General features: G+C 45.5%; 1 long non-coding RNA gene and 2 pseudogenes across 1 annotated transcript in view; 2 read left to right on the top strand and 1 right to left on the bottom strand.

Annotated features, from left to right (window-relative positions):
* The window catches only part of LINC02963 (long intergenic non-protein coding RNA 2963), a 28,175-nt gene extending 8,868 nt beyond the window's left edge, over nucleotides 1–19,307 (top strand). Inside the window, exons 4-5 of the long non-coding RNA NR_185896.1 lie at nucleotides 7,762–7,887; nucleotides 18,912–19,307. This is a non-coding gene — a long non-coding RNA (long intergenic non-protein coding RNA 2963). The remainder of the gene's footprint in view (nucleotides 1–7,761; nucleotides 7,888–18,911) is intronic.
* Nucleotides 543–1,921, top strand: DUX4L27 (double homeobox 4 like 27 (pseudogene); annotated as a pseudogene).
* RNA5SP357 (RNA, 5S ribosomal pseudogene 357) lies at nucleotides 4,527–4,645 on the bottom strand (annotated as a pseudogene).
* Nucleotides 19,308–19,972: the final 665 nt, after the last annotated feature.

Raw genomic sequence — 19,972 nt, 5'->3', positions numbered from 1 at the left:
TATCACAGCAACGGCGACACCCACAGGCATTGCCCCCTTCACAGAGAGAGGACCTGAAAAACTCAAGACTGTCGTGGAGGTTCTGTTCCACACTCCACCCTTCCAGGGATGTTTCTCCCTGAAGACACATGCAAGCCCAGAGAGCGGCTTCCAGTTTCCATAGAATTCCTGGAGAACCCCAGAGAGCCAGCCCCCGAAGTCCCACTTCTTTCTCGGCTCTGGCCCCACACCCACCCACACCACAGTGCCCTGGTCCCTGTGGTTTCCAGCTTCGGAAGGGCTGCTACCCCGAAGCTCCTGCTACCCTGGAGCTCACTCGCATTCATGAAGGGGTGGAACCTGTGGGTCTTTTTTTTTTTAAACTTATAAAGAAAAGAGGTTTATTTGACTCACAGTTCTACAGGCTGTACAAGAAGCATGGTGCCAGCATCTGCTGTGGACAGAAGCCTCAGGCTGCTTCCACTCATGACAGAAGGCAAAGAGGAGCCAGTGTGTCACATTGTGAGAGAGGGAGCAACAGCCTGTGAGTCTTTATAAGAGCCGCTGGCAGGGCTGGCCTCTTGGCTGGACCTGCATGCAGTGCAGAGGCCGACTGAGGTGCACGGGAGCCTGCCGGCCTCTCTCTGCTGGTGTCTGTCCAGGAAATTCTGGCCAGGTCTCACCACGATGTCTCTCCCAAAACCTTCCGACAGTTGTCTCCCTGCGGAAGCCCGAGGACGAGGACGGCGAAGGAGACTCGTTTGGACCCCGAGTGAAAGGGAGGCCCTGTGAGCGTGCTTTTAGTGGAACCTGTACCCAGGCATCGCCACCAGAGAACAGCTGGCCCAAGCCATTGGCATTCCGGAGCCCAGGGGCCAGATTTGGTTTCAGAATGAGAGATCACACCAGCTGAGGCAGCACCGACAGGAATCTTGGCCCTGGCCTAGGAAACGCAGCCCGCAAGAAGGCAGGTGAAAGCAGATCGCAGTCACCCGATCCCAGACCACCCTGCTCCTCCGAGACTTTGAGAAAGATTGCTTTCCAGGCATCACCACCCAGGAAGAACTGGCCAGAGAGACAGGCCTCCCAGAGTCCAGGAATCAGATTTGGTTTTAGCATCAGGGCCAGGCATCCAGGCCAGGGTGGCAGGGCACCCACGCACACTGGCGGCCTGTGCAACGTGGCCCCAGGCGGGTGTCACCCTCCTTCCTCGTCGGTCGCCTTCACCCCCACCGGGGCTTGGACAACAGCACTTCCCGCACCCCGCATGTCCTGGGCTCCTGGGGCTCCCCCACAGGGTGCTCTCGTGAGCCAGGCAGCAAGGACCATTGCCCTGCTCCAGCCCAGCCAGGCTGCGCAGGCAGAAGGAATCTCCCAACTGGTCCTGGCACTCTGGGATTTTGCCTACGCTGCCCTGGCTCATCCAGAAGCGGCGCCCTCCAACCCTCAGGTTCCTCGGTGGCCTTCGCACCCCAACAAATGCCAGGAGGACCAGGACCCACAGAACGGCGGCCTGCTGGGTGCTTGCTCAGTGGGACAGCTTAAACCTGCTCAAGCTGAGTCCAAAGGGTGAGGTGTGCTTGCGCCACACACATCCTACCCGAGTCCGTGGTGGAGCTGGGGCCAGGGGCCCCATGTCGCCAGGGCCACGTGGGAACCTGAAGCTGGGGCACCTCCACCTCCAGAGCCCACGCCTCCGGAAGCCTCCGCGTCACAGAAGCAGATGCAAGCCATCCAGGCGCCCTCCCAACCGCTCCAGGAGCCGGAGTGCTTGTCTGCAGTCACCTCTAGCCTGTTAGATGAGCTTCTGTCGACCCCAGAGTTTCAACAAAAGGCACAACCTTTGCTAGAAACGGAGCCGCTGCGGGAGTTGAAGGACTTGGAAAAGCCCGTGTCGCTGGAGCCACTTTTTATGGAGAAAGTATGCCGGGCTCTGCTGGAGGCATTTATGACCCGGGGTTTGGGTGGATTGGGGTCAGGTTGGTGTCCTCACTTTCGCAGTGAATATCTGGCTTGGTATGGAGAGGCGTGTCTTCTTTTCAGGCTGGCTTGTCTAGGATCCCTGAGTTCTTGGTTCCTCGAGAGACTACATACAGATGAGGGGTGTCATTCTTTCCTGAGTATTCCAAGGATTTCAGAGTCCTCCCAGGTACCAGGTGGTGGGCGGTCTCCTTCATATGTGAGGGTCCGCAGGCCAGGCTTTGGGACTAGACCAGGCAGAGGTCACATTCCTATTTGTCCAGGCGTTCTTTAGTGGTGTGGGTGGAGACCTTCTACCCATGAAACACCAGCCGTGGCTGCGGCGAGACCTGCTCTCTTTTCTGCGTCTTGCCTCCTCTGCCTCCCGGCTCCACCGTCTTTCGTCCACCGTTGCCCCACCAGCCTCCTAGACTTCACCATTGGGCAACTCCAACTAAATGTAGACCCTGAGATCTTTCACAAACCAGGTTGCTGTTCTTTCCAGGCAGGAGTGTTGGCAGGCATGAATGGGGAAAGGAAGGGAGACAGAGAGGGAGGGAGAGACCGAGGGAAGATGGAACGGATGGACGGAAGGAAGATAGAACGGATGGACGGAGGAAAAAACGGATGAACCAGAGCAACTTGGAGGGAGGGTGGGAAGAACAGAGGGAGGGAGGGATGGATAGAGGGAAGGAGGGACAAAGGGAGAAAAGGACCAAGAAACAGAGAAAGGAAGGCAGAGAGAAAAGCGTTCTTCTGCCTCCAGGACCAACAGGATCCCACACTTTGCGAATATGTTTGGCGCCCACTGTGGGCTGATGGCTGGGACCACAGCCACGTCCGCCAGTGAGGCCCTCCAGATAGCCAGCCTGGGTTTCTTCATCCTGGAGCAATTCAGAGGAATTCCGTCTTCCAAGGAATGAGCTACTTACCCAAAGAGCAATGAGCTGAGACTCGGGTGGTAGTCCGTTATTCAACCCCATGGTTCACAGATGACATATCCCCACATTGAGCCATGCAACAGAGTGGGACGTGGATGCCCCCATGCACACAGAGTCACAGGGAGACTGAAGTGTGATTTTTGGATTACACATTTCTTTGCCCTCTGCAAATGTGTCTGTTGCTCACTTCTCTCTGGCCTCTGAAATCGTCATCATGCTGACTCTTTGTTTCCTGAGCTCTGTGGGGATTTAGACACTTCCAGGGAAGCATGGAAAACCAGTGTCGTCTAGATGCAGTGTTTTCCAGTCTCCAAACAGGCCATACTGATTGGAGGCTCCCCATGTTGCAGGAAAGAATCCATTGTCAGGCCATGATGCACGGTAGTTTGTTTTCTGTGTGGCTTCGCTCTCATTTTCTACATGAAAATTAACGAGATCCACACAACTGCATGTGGAGGCTATCATGGCAACTGCAACACCCACTCTCTGGCAATAGAGTGGGCAGCCTGACCCCAGGAAAAATAGACTGATGGACATCCAGACACATCCCACCATCACCACGAGCAAACCCACCCCCTACACACAGACACACATGGGCCGACGGGTGCAGGCACACACACACACACAGAGAGAGACACACAAAGACACAGACATCTTGAAGGAGAGCAAAGGAGAGAGGGATGGAGACATAGAAACGTAGGGAGAGAAAGAAACAGCAATAGAGAGCAGGGAGGGGAGAGAGAGAGAAGGCAACAGAAAGAGCACAAGGTGGAAGGAGAATAAGAGAGAGCTGGTCAGGGAGCTAGAGAGCGAGAGAGCCTTTGAGTGGGAGCGCTCTGCTCTGGTAGACAGGGCCCCTTTGGGCAGACCAAGGTAGTGTGGAGTTTTCTTGGGCCGGGCCAGAACAGGGGTTCAAGGCCGCCCATGTGGGAGGATCAACGGAGCCCTGAGACATGTTTTTTCTTGGATTTGTTGGTTGCTTTGGGGGTGTTTTCGTAGGGTCCTCGTTTGTTGGCTCCTCTCTGTCCTCTTGGTGCAGTGGGCCCCGAGAGTTGTAGAATGCACCAGTCCTTCTGGCGGGAGCCATGGCGCCAAGCGTGCCAATGGTGCCTGAGGCCTGGGTCTCTCTCATGTCCTCGGGATTGGAGTTTACATGAAGTCCATGGCAATGGGAATCCGGGTGCACAGGGACGTTTTCCTCACAGCTGGTGAAGGCAATGTCCTTCCCTGGAAAATGCAGCCCATGCATTCTGGAGGAGGTCTTGGCTGGTGTCTGTGGGACCCTCTGCCCCTGCCCGCCCCTTCCCCAGGCTTGGATGTTTGTGGTGGCACCAGATGAGTGAATTGAATTGCCTGGGCGTTCGTGGAGCAGGAAGGCAACCAGGATGGCAGGGAACCTGGGCCTGCGCCTTCTGGGTCTGGTCCTGGCCCGCCCTGCTCTGGCTAGAGTGGGGGATCTGGTGGAGCTGCAGTGAGGTAGAAGAGGTAGGATGCTGCTGCCTGGCGGTGCTGCAGTGGCGGAGCCCCAGGAGGAAGTCTCCAGCTGTGGTGGGGGCGCAGGCAGGTGGAAAAGGGGTAGCAGAGTCAGGGGGTGGTTGGGAAGCAGGGCGACAAAAAAGGGAAAGAGGTAGGGAGCGGGAAGCCAAAAGCCTACAGCACCCGGTATTCCCAGTCAGTCTCCCTTCCAAGTACTAACCAGGCCCCACCCTGCTTAGTTTCACAGACCAGAGAAGATCAGGCGCCTTCAGGGTGGTATGGCCATAGACACCGGCAGTGATGCCTGGATGACACAAGAGCCTGGCCCAGCCACGCCTGCCTGACTCCAGGCTTCATCCCCACTCGGAGGCCGCGGGGCTCGGATCAGGGACCCCTCAGCCACTCGCCCCCTGCCGGGCTGCTCTCCCCCTCCACGCCGGAGCACTGTGGGCCGCTGCGCTGCGCTTTCCGGCCTCCAAGAGCCTCCCGCCATCGCCGGCGGCAAGGGCGTGCACTGGATCGCCGCAGCACCGCCCTGCTGTTGAGTGGGGACGCCAGAGTTTTCCATCCCCTGCTCAGACTTTGAGCTTTCCGGGAGGCCCCCTTTCCTCCGACGCTCCAGTCCTTCCCCAGTCTCCTGAGCTCCCAAGCCTCCACCACATCGGACCCACTCAGGACGGGTTGTGCTCCCAGGCGTGAGGGTCCTGGGCCCATGGTCCTGGGATCCCCTCCTGTCCTCCTCCTGGCCTTGGAGGGATTGTTTTGGTTCCTAGCTGCCCCTCCTGCAAGGCCCCCTCTTGCCCCACCCACCCAGAGCTGCCAGGGCTGCCCAGGGGGGAACAGCCGGCCTACGCCTGCGGGCCTTTTCTCTCACAATGTCCCTAAAGGGTAGCTTGTCCCGACAAGGACATGGCCCGTGGCCAAGTGAGTGGGGCGGGGGGCAGGGGGGTGTTGCTTTGCCCCGCCCTGCCACTAGAACCGGCAGCCTAATCCCAGGAGAGAGAGGCTGACTGTCAGCCAGACACACCCCACCACTACCACGTGCAAAACCACCCCACCCCCACAGACACACATGGGTGCACGCGTGCGGGCACACAGACACCACACACACAAAGATACAGACAGCTTGAAGGAGAGCAAGGGAAAGAGGGATGGAGAGAGACAAACAGCAATAGAGAGAGAGACAGAGACAGAGACAGAAAGAGCACGAGATGGAGGGGGAAGAAGAGAAATACAGGGGTGAGAGAGCTAGAGAGCCAGAGCAATAGAGCCTGAGAAAGGCCAGTGCTCTGCTCTGGTAGACAGGGCTCTTTCGAGCAGGCTGGGGTAAGGTGCTTGAGCCAGGCCAGAACAGGGGGGCAGGGCAGCCCATGCAAGAGGGCCAACAGAACCCTGAGACGTATTTTTTCTTGGATTGGTTGGTTGCTTTGGGGGTGCATTTCGTATGGTCCTTCTTTTGTTGGCTCCTCCGTGTCTTCTTGGTGTGGTGGGCCCCGAGATTTGTAGAGTGTATCTGTCCCTCTGGTAGGAGCCGTGGCGTGGAGCGTGCCCATGGGGCCTGAGGCCTGGGTGTCTCTCGTGTCCTCGGGACTGGAGTTTACTCGAAGTCGGTGGCAATGGGAATCCGGGTGCACAGGGACGGATTTCCTCGTGACTGGCAATGGCAATGTCCTTCCCCTGGGGAAAGAAGCCCATAGGTCCTGGAGCAGAGGTTTTGGCTGGCATTTGTGGGACCCTCTGCCCCTGGCCGCCACTTGTCCTGGGCTTGAACTGTTGTGTGGCGCCGGATGAGTAAACTGAATTGCCTGGGCATCCCGGGAGCGTGAAGACACCAGGCACCTCAGGGAACATATACCACCCCGCCCCAGCTGGAGCCAGGCTCCTGGTGGGGCTGCAGCAAGGCGGAAGAGGTGGGATGCTGTTGCCTGGCGGTGCTGCAGTGGTGCACCCCCACGAGGAGGTCCCAGGCTGCTGTGGGGCCGCAGGCGAGGGGAAAAGTGGGAGCAGAGTCAGGGGAAGGTTGTGAAGCACGACAAAAGGGGGAAAGAGGGAGGGAGGGGGAAGGCAAAAGCCTACAGCACCCGGCATTCCCAGAGATCCTCCCATTCAAGTACTAACCACTCAAGGCCTTTGGTCTCTACAATTAGCCAGCCATGTCTATGTTCTTTCCTTCAGGGCAGTGAGTTCTCTCAGTCCCTGGCTGGGTCCAGAAGTGCCATTCAGAAGTCAGGGAGTAGAGTCAAACATTTTAGAAGTAAACCAGACATTCTATTGCATTGCAGCTGAGTTGGCATTGAAATCACAAGACACAGTCCTTCCTATTCCTTCTTTCCTTTTCCAAAGGCACAGTAGCCACCAGGACTCCAGGACACAAGGAGTACTGCCAGGCTACCACCAATGTTCCCTTAAGGCCCAAAGCCTCTTGTCAGCTTGTGATGAATGCTGCCTGGCCTGGGACTTGCAGTTTTCAGGGCAATGGGCTCCTCACTGGCCCTGGGCAGGTCCATACATGCCAACCAAGAATCAAGTCCTAGAATCAGGGATTCCAAAAGCTTGCTTGGTGTTCTACCCACCTCTGGCCTTGCTGGTACCTAAGTGGCAAGACAAAGTCCCCTTTACTTTTTCCCTCTGCTTTTCCCAAGCAAAAGGAGTTTTGCCCTTTAGCCATCACAGCTTGTAATGTGCTGAGTCTCACCTAAATCTAGCAAGACTATGAGGCTCACCCAAAGCCCTTGATGTAGTATCTGGCTATGGCTCCTGGTTATTCAGGGCCCAAAGGTTGTTAAGTTTGCAGGTGGTAAATGCTGCCAGCACTGGGTTCTTTCCTTCAAGGCAGCAGGTTTCTTTTTGGCCAGGGTATGTCTAGGAATGTCTAGACAGGAGCCAGAGCCTGGAAAGGAGGCCTCAGAACTCTGACTAGTGTGCTATCTTGCTGTGGCTGAGCTGGTATCCAGTCCTCTCTACTCTTTTCCTTCCTCTCCTCAAGCAGAAGGATGGGGTCCCTTTTGGAGCCATGAGATGTGCAGCCTGGTATTAGGGGAGTGATAATGCCAGAACTCCTTTGGCTGCCCCAGCTGGTGTCTCAGTATGTTGCATGCCCTCTCCACCCCAGCCCACTGTTCCTGGGCCTAGTTCAGCCCTAGGCCTCACCTGAGAGTTGCAGTCCTGATGGCCTAGGCTGTCTTTCAAGGTTTCTTAGATACAAAGAGTGCTGGAACCCTCAGTTGCCAGGTTTCCAAACACTCAAGTTCCAACCACTGGAGTCTGATTCCCCTCTGGCTAGTGCTGCTTTAAATGATCTCTCTGTGGATGGGCATTAACAGCTTTTGGTCTGGTTTTCCTTTCTGCTCTAACAGGACAGCACTGGGTTCTTTGCCTCACAATTGCTGTGTTCTCCCTCCTGCAGAACCCAGAGTTGATCTCTACACCACGCCATCACTGCCAGGGGTGAGGAAATTCTGGCACCAGTGATTCAGCACTGTTTTTTTCTCTCTCTTCAGTGCCTCTTTCAGTGATATGAAGTTAAAACCAGGTACTTTGAGTACTCACCTGATTTTTGGTTCTTATGAATGTATTTTCTATGTAGATATTAATAGTTGTTCATCTGGTGCCCTTGCAGGATGGATGATTGTTGGCGCCTTCTTTCTGCCACCTTGCTTTACCCTCACACCCAAGAATCAGAATGCAGAACTTTTAATAAGAAAAGCTTTCAGAACTCAGGAAGGACCAGGAAGATATTCTGGTTCTCCATGCTTAACATTGGACTGTTTCTTCAACTTAGGTGCATAGCACTGACTAATCAGGGATTATCATAGATAATTTGACTTGGACTATGGAGTTCATTCAAATACTTTAGACAATTTTAGTGCTGGCTGACTTGGCAGGAAAATCTGGCAAAGTATTTTCTTGGTATTCAATTGATTTTTATTCTGCTTGGGTTAGCAGTTTTATAAAACAGTCAGTCTCTGCATTAAAGTTCTGGGAATTCTTACCTAGTTCGAATGATAATGATTCTAAAGTTCTCAAAAATCTGTATTCAAGAGTGCTTCTCAGGACATTTTCCATCCTTTCATGAAACTCCTTAAAGATACAATATTCTAGGATTTTGCAAGCTTGTAAATTTTTAGAAATTAACTCAGAATTAAGCAATTTACACTGGACATGACTTTAAATTGTCATAGTTAGACACAATTGACAAGAAAATTTTATTTACAGGCGTGAGCCACTGCGACTGGCCTCTGAAGTTAATTTAATAAAACTTCATAAATAAATGTATCAAATGTGTCATCTTTTCATCCCAGATTTTTGTGAATCTATGCCTTGCATTTTCCCCCAACTTTCTATATTTATCTAGTTTTATCTATTTTTTACTTCTTCAATTTGAAACCTTTAAGTAACTTCAAACAAAAAAAATTAAAACAATTTTTTTTGAGACGGAGTCTGGCTCTGTTGCCCACGCTGGAGTGCAATGGGGTGATCTCGGCTCACTGCAAGCTCCGCCTCCTGGGTTGACGCCATTCTCCTGTCTCAGCCTCCCCAGTAGCTGGGACTACAGGAGCCCGCCACTAAGCCTGGCTAATTTTTTTGTATTTTTAGTAGAGACGGGGTTTCACCGTGTTAGCCAGGATGGTCTCCATCTCCTGACCTGGTGATCCACCCGCCTCGGCCTCCTAAAGTGCTGGGATTACAGGCGTGAGCCACTGCACCCAGCAAAACACATTTTTATACCTTTATAAGTTTTCTCATTAAAAGCATATCTTCACAAGCCAGTAATCCCAGCACTTTGGAAGGCCAAGGCAGGTGCATCACTTGAGGTCAGGGGTTCGAGACAAGCCTCGCCAACATGGTGAAACCCTGTCTCTACTAAAAATACAAAAATACGCCCGGTGTGGTGGTGAGCACCTGTTATCCCAGCTACTTGGGGGGCTAAGGCAGGTGAATCACTTGAACCTGGGAGGCGGAGGTTGCAGTGAGCTGAGATCATGCTACTGCATGCCAGCCTGGGCAACAGAACAAGACTCAGTCAAAAAAAAAAAAAGGCCGGGTGCGGTGGCTCACGCCTGTAATCCCAGCACTTTGGGAGGCCGAGGTGGGAGGATCACAAGGTCAGTAGATCAAGACCATCCTGGCTAACACGGTGAAACCCTATCTCTACTAAAAATACAAAAAATTAGCCGGGCATGGTGGTGGGCGCCTGTAGTCCCAGCTACTCGGGAGGCTGAGGCAGGAGAATGGCATGAACCCAGGAGGCGCAGCTTGCCGTGAGCCGAGATTGCACCACTGCACTCCAGCCTGGGCGACAGAGCGAGACTCCATCTCAAAAAAAAAAAAAAAAAAAAAAAAAAAAAAAAAAGAAAGAAAAAAAGAAGAAAAGCATATCTTGCTTTTTATACACCCTGTATGCAGAATTGTTAATTAATTAAGTCTTAGTAACCCCAATTTCAGTGAAAACCCTAAAGAGTAATTTTCAACTGTCTTATATTTGTGTTTTTAGATAAAAAACCATTTTATAATTTTTAAGAAATATAATTCTTCAAATTATTTTTTATTAACAGAACTAAAGATATTTAGGTTTTCTATACCATATACAAGTAACATGTCATGGTATATAGACCTAATTTTTTATGGTGAATATTTCATTATTTTAGCTTACAAATGACTCAAGACATTTTATAATTACCTGTTACTTAATTTAACATGACTTTAAGGTTTTAAATTACTGAACAGAATTTTGAAACTATGACACAGGTAGCATCCCTAATGTCTTCCCTCAGTAATTCTAGATCCCAAGTAGCCACATGGCACCCAGGCAAACTATGAAGATCAGGGCCTGCCTGAGTCCATTAGGACTAAAGACAGAGCTGTGAAGTCTATACCTGTAGGATCCAACCCCTCCTAAAACAGCAAGGAGGCAAAATAGGAAAAGCAAAGAAAGAAGGTGCCAATTGGGCTTGATTCTGGCTTGTAGCTGCTGGTCTAGACACTGAGAACATGTCTCCAGACTTCATCATGGACACTTATCAAGACCCCCTGAATCCAGAAATTCTCAACAAAAGACATAAGCTCACAGCTAAATCCAGCAAGTATCTAATTATATTTAACGGATAATTATAAAGCCATTTTTATTTTAGTAACAATTTAAGAACGAGTTTTATTTACAAAATATTATCACATACATGTGACACATATAGACATACAAACACACAAGGAGCAGATCTTATAGCTTTCATAAAGTATTTAAAAATTTTTTTATTTTAGGTTCAGGGGTACATGTGAAGGTTTCTTACTTAGATAAACTCATATCACAGGGGCTTGTTATACAGATTATTTTGTAACCCAGGTATTAAGCCCAGTACCCCATAGTTATCTTTTCTGCTCCTCTCCCTCCTCCCACCCTCCGCCTTCAAGTAGACCCCAGTGTCTGTTATTTCCTTCTTTGTGTTCATAAGTTCTCATTATTTAGCTCTCACTTATAAGTGAGAACATGTAGCTGCATAGTATTCCATGGTGCATATGTGTGTTCTGCGAGAGAAATGTGTGAGGAGAGAAGGAAAGAAACACACAATACTTTTAAGGGTAAACAGACTTTATCCGAATTATATGGCAATACAGATATAATAAGCAAATTATCTAATAAGCAAATGATATAATAAATTGTAATGGGAAGGGGAGAAGGGAAAAGACATATATATAATATATATACATATACATATATACATACATATATATTTACACTCACCAGACGATGGAGGATTCATCACCAGACCGGGAAGCAACAGCCTGTGCTCCAGAGTTGACCAATAGTCCATGCACAGACAAGGAGAGGTCCCATGAAGCTTCGGTGCCATCCGGGAACCTAGCTCTTTTTGTAACATGTTGTTTGACATGAGGCCCAGTTATGAGGGCCCTTCTTGACTGGGCTCAAGGAACACAAAAAGGTCAACTTGTTTTTGCAATTGTCGTTTTTCAATAACTATTTCTCTGAAACAGTGCTGAATGAATGCCTCCAGGGGCTCACACAACTCGTTCCGGGACTTAGTGACCATTGTTTGTGTCCATGTTCAATTGCGTTCAAATTTAATATTTAACTTTTCCTCTAAAATTTGCCACATTACCTTTATCCCATCTGTCATCGATGGGCATTTAGGTTGATTCCATGTCTTTACTATTGTGAATAGTGCTGCAATAAACATTTATGTGCTTGTGTCTTTATGATAGAATAATTTATATACCTCTGGGTATATACCCAGCAATGATATTGCTGGGTCAAGTGATGGTTCTGCTTTTAGCCCTTTCGAGGAATTACCATACTGCTTTCCACAACAGTGGGACCAATGTACACTCTCAGCAACAGTGTATGTGTTGTCTTTCTCCACAACCTTGCCAGCATCTGTTATTTTTTGACTTTTTAGTAATAGCCATTCTGACTGGTATGAGATGGTGTCTCACTGTGCCTTTGATTTGCATTCCTCTAATGATCAGTCATATTGAGCTTTGTATTATATGGTGGTTGGTCACATGTATGTATTCTTTTGAAAAGTGTTCATGTCTTTTGCTCACTTTTTTTTTTTATTTCCATAGGTTTTGGGGCCACAGGTGGTGTTTGGTTACATAAATAAGTTCTTTATTGGTGATTTGTAAAATTTTGGTACATCCATCACCTCATCAGTATACACTGAACCCAATTTGTAGCATTGTATCCCTCACCCCCTTCACCCCTTTCCCCTGAGTCCCCGAAGTCCATTGTGTCTTTGCATCCTTATAGCTTAGCCCCCGCTTATAAGTGAGAATATTAATTCATTCATTTTTATGGCTGAGTAGTATTCCATCGTACATATACACCACAGTTTCTTTATCCACTCATTGATTGATGGGCATTTGGATTGGTTCTACATTTTTACAATTGCAAATTGTGCTGCTATAAATATGTGTGTGCAAGTATCTTTTTTGTATAATGACTTTTTTTTCCCACTGTGTACATAGCCAGTAGTGGGATTGCGGGATCAAATGGTACTTCTACTTTTAGTTCTTTAAGGAATCTCCACACTGTTGTCAATAGTGATTGTATTAGTTTACATTCCCACCAGCAGTGTAGAAGTGTTCCTTTTTCACCACATTCACACCAACATCTATTATGTTTTTATTTTTTGATTATAACCATTCTTGTGGGAGTAAGATGGTATCGCATCATGGTTGTAATTTGCATTTCTCTGATTATTAGTGATGTTGAGCATTTTTCCATATGTTTTTTGGCCATTTGTGTATCTTCTAAGATTGTCTGTGACCATGGTGCCAAAAGCAATCTATAAATTCAATGCAATTGCCATCAAAATACCACCATCATTCTTCACAGAACTAGAAAAAAAAATTCTAAAATTCATACGGAACCAAAACATTGCCCACATAGCCAAAGCAATACTAAGCAAAAAGAACAAATCAGAAGGCATCACATTACCTGATTTCAAGCTATATCATAAGACCATAGTCACCAAAACAGCATGGTTCTGGTATAAAAATAGGCACATAGACAAATGGCACATAATAGAGAACTCAGAAATTAACCCAAATATTTACAGCCATCTGATCTTTGACAAAGCAAACAAAAACAAAGTGGGGAAAGAACACCCTACTCAACAAATGGTGCTGGGATAATTGGCAAGCCACATGTAGGAGAATGAAACTGGATCTTCATCTCTCACCTTATACAAAAATCAACACGAGATGGATCAAGGACTTAAATCTAAGACCTGAAACTATAAAAATTCTAGAAGATGACATCGAAAAAACCCTTCTAGACATTGGCTTAGGCAAGGATTTCATGACCAACAACCCAAAAGCAAATGCAAGAAAAACAAAGATTAATAGGTGGGATTTAATTAAACTAAAGAGCTTTTTCACTGCAAAAGCTTTTTCACTCTTTACTCTGCGCAGTCAGCAGAGTAAACAGACAATCCACAGAATGGGAGAAAATCTTCACAATCTGTATATCTGACAAAGGACTAATACCCAGCATCTACAACGAGCTCAAACAAATTAGCAAGAAAAAAAAACAAACAATCCCATCAAAAAGTAGGCTAAGGACATGAATAGACAGTTCTTTGGCCACGTTTTAATAGGGCTCTTTGTTTTTTCTCTTGTGAATTTATTTAAGTTCCTTGTGTTGAATATTAGACCATTGACAGATACCTAGTTTGTAAATATGTTTTCTCAGTTTGTAGGTTGTCTCTTCACTCTATCGATAATTTCTTTTGCTGAGCAGAAGCTTTTAAGTTAAATTAGATCCCACTTGTCAATATTTGCATTGGTTGTAATTGTTTTTGGTGTCTTTATCATGGAATCTTTGCCTGTTTCTATGTCTAGGATGGTATTGTCTAGGTTGTCTTCCAGGGCTTTTATAGTTTTGGGTTTTACATTGAAGTCTTTAATCCATCTTGAGTTGATCTTTGTATACGGTGTAAGGAAGAAGTCCAGCTTCGATCTTCTGCATATGGCTAGCCAGTTATCCCAGCACCATTTATTGAATAGGGAGTCTTTTTCCCATTGCTTGTTTTTGCCAGATTTGTCAAAGATTATATAGTTGTAGGTGTGTGGTCTTATTTCTGGGATCTTTATTCTGTTCCATTGGTGTGTGTGTCTTTCCGTACAAATACCATGCTGTTTTGGTTACTGTAGTGCTGTACTATGGTTTGAAGTCGGGCAATGTGATGCCTCAAGCTTTGTTCCTTTTGCTTAGGATTGCCTTAGCTAGTTAGGTTTTTTCTTGGTGCTATATGAATTTTTAAATAGCTTTTTCTAGTTCCGTGAAGCAAGTCATTGGTAGTTTAATAGGAATAGCTTTGGGCAGTATGGCCATTTAAATGATATTCGTTCTTTCTCTCCATTAGCATGAAATGATTTTTCATTTGTTTGTGTCTTCTCTCACATGTTTGAGCAGTGTTTTGTAATTTTTATTGTAGAGATCTTTCACCTCCCTGGTTAGCTGTATTCCTAGGTATTTTATTCTTTTTGTGGAAATTGTGAATAAAATTGCCTTTCTGATTTGTCTCTCAGTTTGGCTCTTCTTGGTATATAGGGATGCTAGCAAATTTTGTACATTGATTTTGTATACTGAAACCATGTGGAAGTTGTTTATCAGCTTAAGGAGCCTTTTGGGTCACAACTGTACGGTTTAGCTAGAGAATTATGTTGTCTCCAAACAGAGGCAGTTGGACTTCGCTTTCTATTTAAATACCCTTTATTTCTTTCTCTTATCTGATTGCTCCAGTAAGAACTTCTAATACTATGTTGAGTAGGAGTGGTGAGAGAGGGCATCCTTGTCTTGTGTGGGTTTCAAGGAGAATTCTTCCAGATTTTGCCCATTTAGTATAATGTTGGCTGTGAGTTTGTCATAGATGGCTTTTATTATTTTGAGGTATGTTCCTTCAATAGCTCATTTATTGAGAGTTTTTAACATGAAGCATTGTTGAATTTTACTGAAAACCTTTTCTGCATCTACTGAGTCAATCATGTGGTTCTTGTCTTTAGTTTTATTTATGTTATGAATCACATTTTATTGATTTGTCCATGATGGACCAATCTTCCATTCCAGGGAAGAAGCCTACTTCGCTGTGGCGAATTACCCTTTTGATGTGCTGCTGGATTTGGTTTGCAAGGATTTTGTTGTGGATTATTGAATGAATGTTCATCAAGGATACTGGCCTGAAGCTTTCTTTTTTTGTTGTGTCACTGCCAGGCTTTGGTATCAGGATGATGCTGGCCTCGTAGAACAAGTTGGGAGGAGTCCCTCCTCCTCTATTTCTTGAAATAGTTTTAGTAGGAATGGTACTGGCTCTTCTTTGTACATCTGTTAAAATTTGACTGTTAATCTGTCAGGTCCTGGGCTTTTTTTTTTTTTTTTTTTTGTTTGGTAGGCTATTTATTACTGATTCAATTTTTTGAGCTCATTATTGGTCTGTTAAGATACTGAATTTCTTCCTGGTTCAGTCTTGAGGGGTGTATGTGTCCAGGAATTTAATCATCTCTTCTAGGGTTTCTAGTTTGTGTGTGTAGAGGTGTTCATAGTAGTTCCTGATTATTATTTTTATTTCTGTGGGGTCAGTGGTAACATTCCCTTCATCATTTCTAATTGTGTTTATTTGAATCTTCTTTCTTTTCTTCTTTATTAGTCTAGCTAGTGCCTATCTATCTTATTAATTTTTTTCAAAAAACCTTAAGTGATCTTTTGAACAGTTTTTTAGGCTCAAGTTCTTTCAGTTCAGCTCTGATTTTAGTTATTTCTTGTCTTCTGCAAGCTTTGTGGTTGATTTCTTCTTGCTTTTCTAATTCTTTCAGTTGTGATGCTAGGTTGTCAATTTGAGATCTTTCTAACTTTGATGTGGGCATTACTTCTTATGCCCTATTCTAACTTTTCTCCTTCTCCTAGAAAACTCAGAACCATGCTTTCTAAAGCAATTCAAACTTTCTCAGTGAATCAACCTGGTCTCCCTGAGGCAAAGTTAGCAATTTTCCATTACACATGGTTCTCTTTCTCTGTAAGAATATCTAATGCAACAATGCAAGTGTTTCATTCCCTTCTGGATATGTGGGGAACTCCTTTTGGCTGAGACCAAGACTTAAAACTTTGTTCTTTCAACATTAATGAAGATCTATTTAGAAAGTCTCCATTTTTACAGAAAAGATATATAAATACCAATGAAAATAAATATAAAATTATATGACATACAATTATATCGTGGAAAGACTGAATAAATAAGTGTACTAAGCTCTAAGAAAAAAAAAGAAGGTGATACAAAATGATACATAAATGAAAAACCTCGGCTGGTATAGCATAATTAATGTACCAGTAAAGTATGTACATTGCAGAAGTGGCAGGAAAACTGCATGCAGAGTGAGACCTGACCATAAAGCTTTAAGGAAAGGTCAGATCTCTGTTTGGAGACTGGAAAGGGAGACAAGGAGAGGCCAGAAAATATAAATTGTTTGATCTATACCCTTAAAAAAAGATTAAAGTGGACTCAGGAAAACATGGTCCGCTTTAGGAGAAGGACACATGTTCCATGCTGGCCAAAGCTCAGAGCATCCCTACCTTCTCCAGGCGGAAAGGGGGAGGCAAAGAAGCAGGCAGATGGCAACATGGCCAGGTCAGCACAGGGCACCTAGGCCAAGCCAGGCGGGCTCCACTCTACAGGTAGTGAGGAGCCACTGCAGGGTGGGCTTTATTCATTAGTTTGTTTTCTTTTCTTTAGTAACTAAGACACATGATCAAAGTTTACCTTTGTAAGTATTGCTGCAGCTCAACATAGGATGGGTAAAACTAGTATTTTAAAAGTTATGTTGTGTAGAACACTAGCCCCAGTGAGATATTAGTGAAACACACAGGCACACACACACACACATGCACACACTCACACTGAGCCCAGATTATTCTGGCAAATGCTGGGTTAAGCAAACTGAAAGAAACATCTTTAGTGCTGGACTTCTCAGAACCTAGAACGTGGCTATGTGACTCACAAAACAGCAAGTTTAAGACAGAGCATGTGATTTTTTTTCCAGAAATATTGAAACACTTTCCTTTCCTTGGCTTCAGTATCACCTTCTTTCTCCTCATTCTCCATCAACCTCTTTGGCTGCTTCTTCTTGGTTTCCTTCTTGACAATCTGCTGCTGCTCAGCCATTCTCTTTTCATTCCCCATGGATTTCTTAAGTGTGTTTCTATTCCTGCAGATTAAACTTTCCTTGTTTTTCCTGACACCTCTCCTTGTTTGAACCTCCACCGTTCTAAGACAGTTGTTCCATCTGTGTGCACTTTTGGCATCCCGGGATGCTCCCAGCATGTTCCCTGCTGCACTCCATCAGGTTTTCTCCCCCAGACTCTGCAAGGGCAGCAGGCTTGTCTCCACTGTTCCTTCAATACTCTGCATATAACACAGAAGCCGACTCCATAACATTTAGTTGGCCAACTGAGACTAAATATATGTTCCTCCAGATCTTAAAAAGTTACAATATTCTCACTCATAGGTGGGAATTGAACAATGAGATCACATGGACACAGGAAGGGGAACATCACACTCTGGGGACTGTTGTGGGGTGGGGGGAGGGGGGAGGGATAGCATTGGGAGATATACCTAATGCTAGATGACAAGATAGTGGGTGCAGCGCACCAGCATGGCACATGTATACATATGTAACTAACCTGCACAATGTGCACATGTACCCTAAAACTTAAAGTATAATAATAAAAATAAATAAAGAAAGAAAGAAAGAAAGAAAAAAAAGTTACAATAAAAAACATAGCACTATAGTCAAAAAAATTCCCTTTAGTCAGGAGTTCTCTATATATGCATAACAGTTATAAGTCATTATTAGGCAAAGTTGAGAAATTGTCACGAAGTTCCCTAAGATAAATTATTTTGCTTTAATCTTCAATTCATCATGTGAGATAATCAAGACCATGTGGTGTTGTAAATATTTCTAGCTTACAACATAACAACCTGATTTTTATTGTTCAAAATAACCACATTATAAATCAGTTAAATAAAAATTGCATAAATAATCCTTTCAAATAAAATTCTGTCTAAATTTTACATTACTCATATGTTCAAATGATAATGAGCTCATAGGCTTTTCCAATACCTCAGTCAAAACATTGTACTGATTGCAGCTGTGGGAATAGTAGTTGAGAGTTATGTTACAGGTGGGGAAAAGGTACTTCCGTGACATTGGCCTTTGCACTACTATGCCCTTTTGGGTCAGGAAAAAGCTGTTCCCTTAAAATTCTAAAATCTCTTCTGTCAGGTTTGAAGGGTGGGTAGGAAACACAGTTTTTAAAATTTTAGCCACAGATGTTTTATTCCTTGCTTAAAGCAGTGACTAGATAAAGGCCACTAGAAGAGCCTCTAATGTTTCTTCAGAAGCAGTGTGCCTGAGAGCATCTTCCTGAAACACTCCCTTATCTGTGCTCAAAATCACCTAGGTAGGAAAGTCAAAACTTAGAAGGCCGAGGAGATCCAAGGGGATCACTGAGCTCTGACGCTTATGAGAGAAGAGAGAGAGTTCTGAGACTTTTCGTGTATAAATTTATAGGTTACAAGTCCAATTTTGCTGTAAGCGTGGATTGCATAGTGGTGAAGTCAGGGCTTTTAGGGTATCCATCACCTGGATAGTGCACATTGTACCTATTAAGTAATTTCTCACTATTCGCCCCTTCCATCCCCTCACCCTGCTGAGTCTCCATTATCATTCCACTCTCTATATCAATACCTACACATCTTTTAGCACCCACTTATGAGTGATAAAACATGTTTACTCTGTGTCTGGCTTGTTTCACTTACAATAATGGCGTCCAGTTCCATCCATGTGTCTGCAATAGTTATGATTTTATTCTTTTTTATGCTTGAATATTATTTCATTGTGTATATTTTCTACATTTTCTTTCTCCAATCATCTGTTGATAGACATTTTGGTTGGTTTTATATCTGTGATACTGTGAATAGTATTGCAACAAACATATGAGTACAGGTATCTTTCTGATACATTGATTTCTTTTCCTTTGTGTAGATACCCAGCCGTGGGATTGCTAGATCAGACAGAGCCAATTGATGATCAGCAGGGCCTGAAAATGCCAAAACCCTGAAACAACTGACCTTCGAAAACTTCAACATCCCTGAACGAAACGTCCAAACACATTTATCCACCAATCAAAGACCCTTTATAGTCTGTGCTCTGTGCATCTCAGAAGTCTCTCTTTACCACACTGTCTATATACTGCATGAGCCATTATATGAAACTCCAAGGCATCTTATACTATATATTCAACCATGTATCCCTAGTACCTAGTACAGTCCTGCCATATAGTTTGCTACTAAACATTTGCAGAATGAAGTAATTATCTTGTATCCAGGTTCCAAGTTTTAAGGTGATTTCTCACTAAAAATAAAGCATTACAGTTCGCAAGCAATGTACTTCCTTTTTTACAAATGAGATCGACTTTAATCTTATCCCCTAATAACATTATTTTCATTTACTTCCATCTAAATATACTGTCCTAAGAGAGCAATAAGAAAGAGAGTTAAAGCTGGAGCTTGAAGAATTGTACATGGTCCACAGTGTGGCCTGACGTGCACTGCTCACCTGAGCTTCATCTGTTAGGTATGTCAGGGAAGATAAGCAGGGCGAGAGTGACCCCAACAGAGGACTCCAGATCTCTGGCTTCCCCATCTGACAAGTACACTTCAGTGAACAAAGACTTCAGAGCTAGATGACAAGAATAGCCAAAGCAGTCCACCAGGGAAACCTGGGCCCAGTGTACATCAATGCAGAGCATCAAGCACAGCATAACAGGTGTTATAGTTGCCTATTCCTGTTCAGAGATAACTGCATCCCACACACTGTAAAATGAGGAAATGCAGAGAAGCAGATGTAACTGAAGGAGACAGCAGGAGCAACAAGGAGGGACAACCATGACCTAGGAGGGCACCATGCCAGAGACGCCTGGACCCCATGCTAGGCTCAGTGCCCATTGTACTGTTGGGACCCAGTGCTTCCCTCTCCAACACTTGGCATACTTGGCATTTTTTTTTTTTTTTTTGCTTAAAATAATGTTTTTAGTGTTCACCTTT

The sequence above is a fragment of the Homo sapiens genome, chromosome 12, assembly GCF_000001405.40.
Source record: "Homo sapiens chromosome 12, GRCh38.p14 Primary Assembly".
Taxonomy (NCBI): domain Eukaryota; kingdom Metazoa; phylum Chordata; class Mammalia; order Primates; family Hominidae; genus Homo; species Homo sapiens.
Note: the sequence above shows the minus strand (reverse complement) of the source record. Positions and strands in the feature narration are given on the sequence as shown.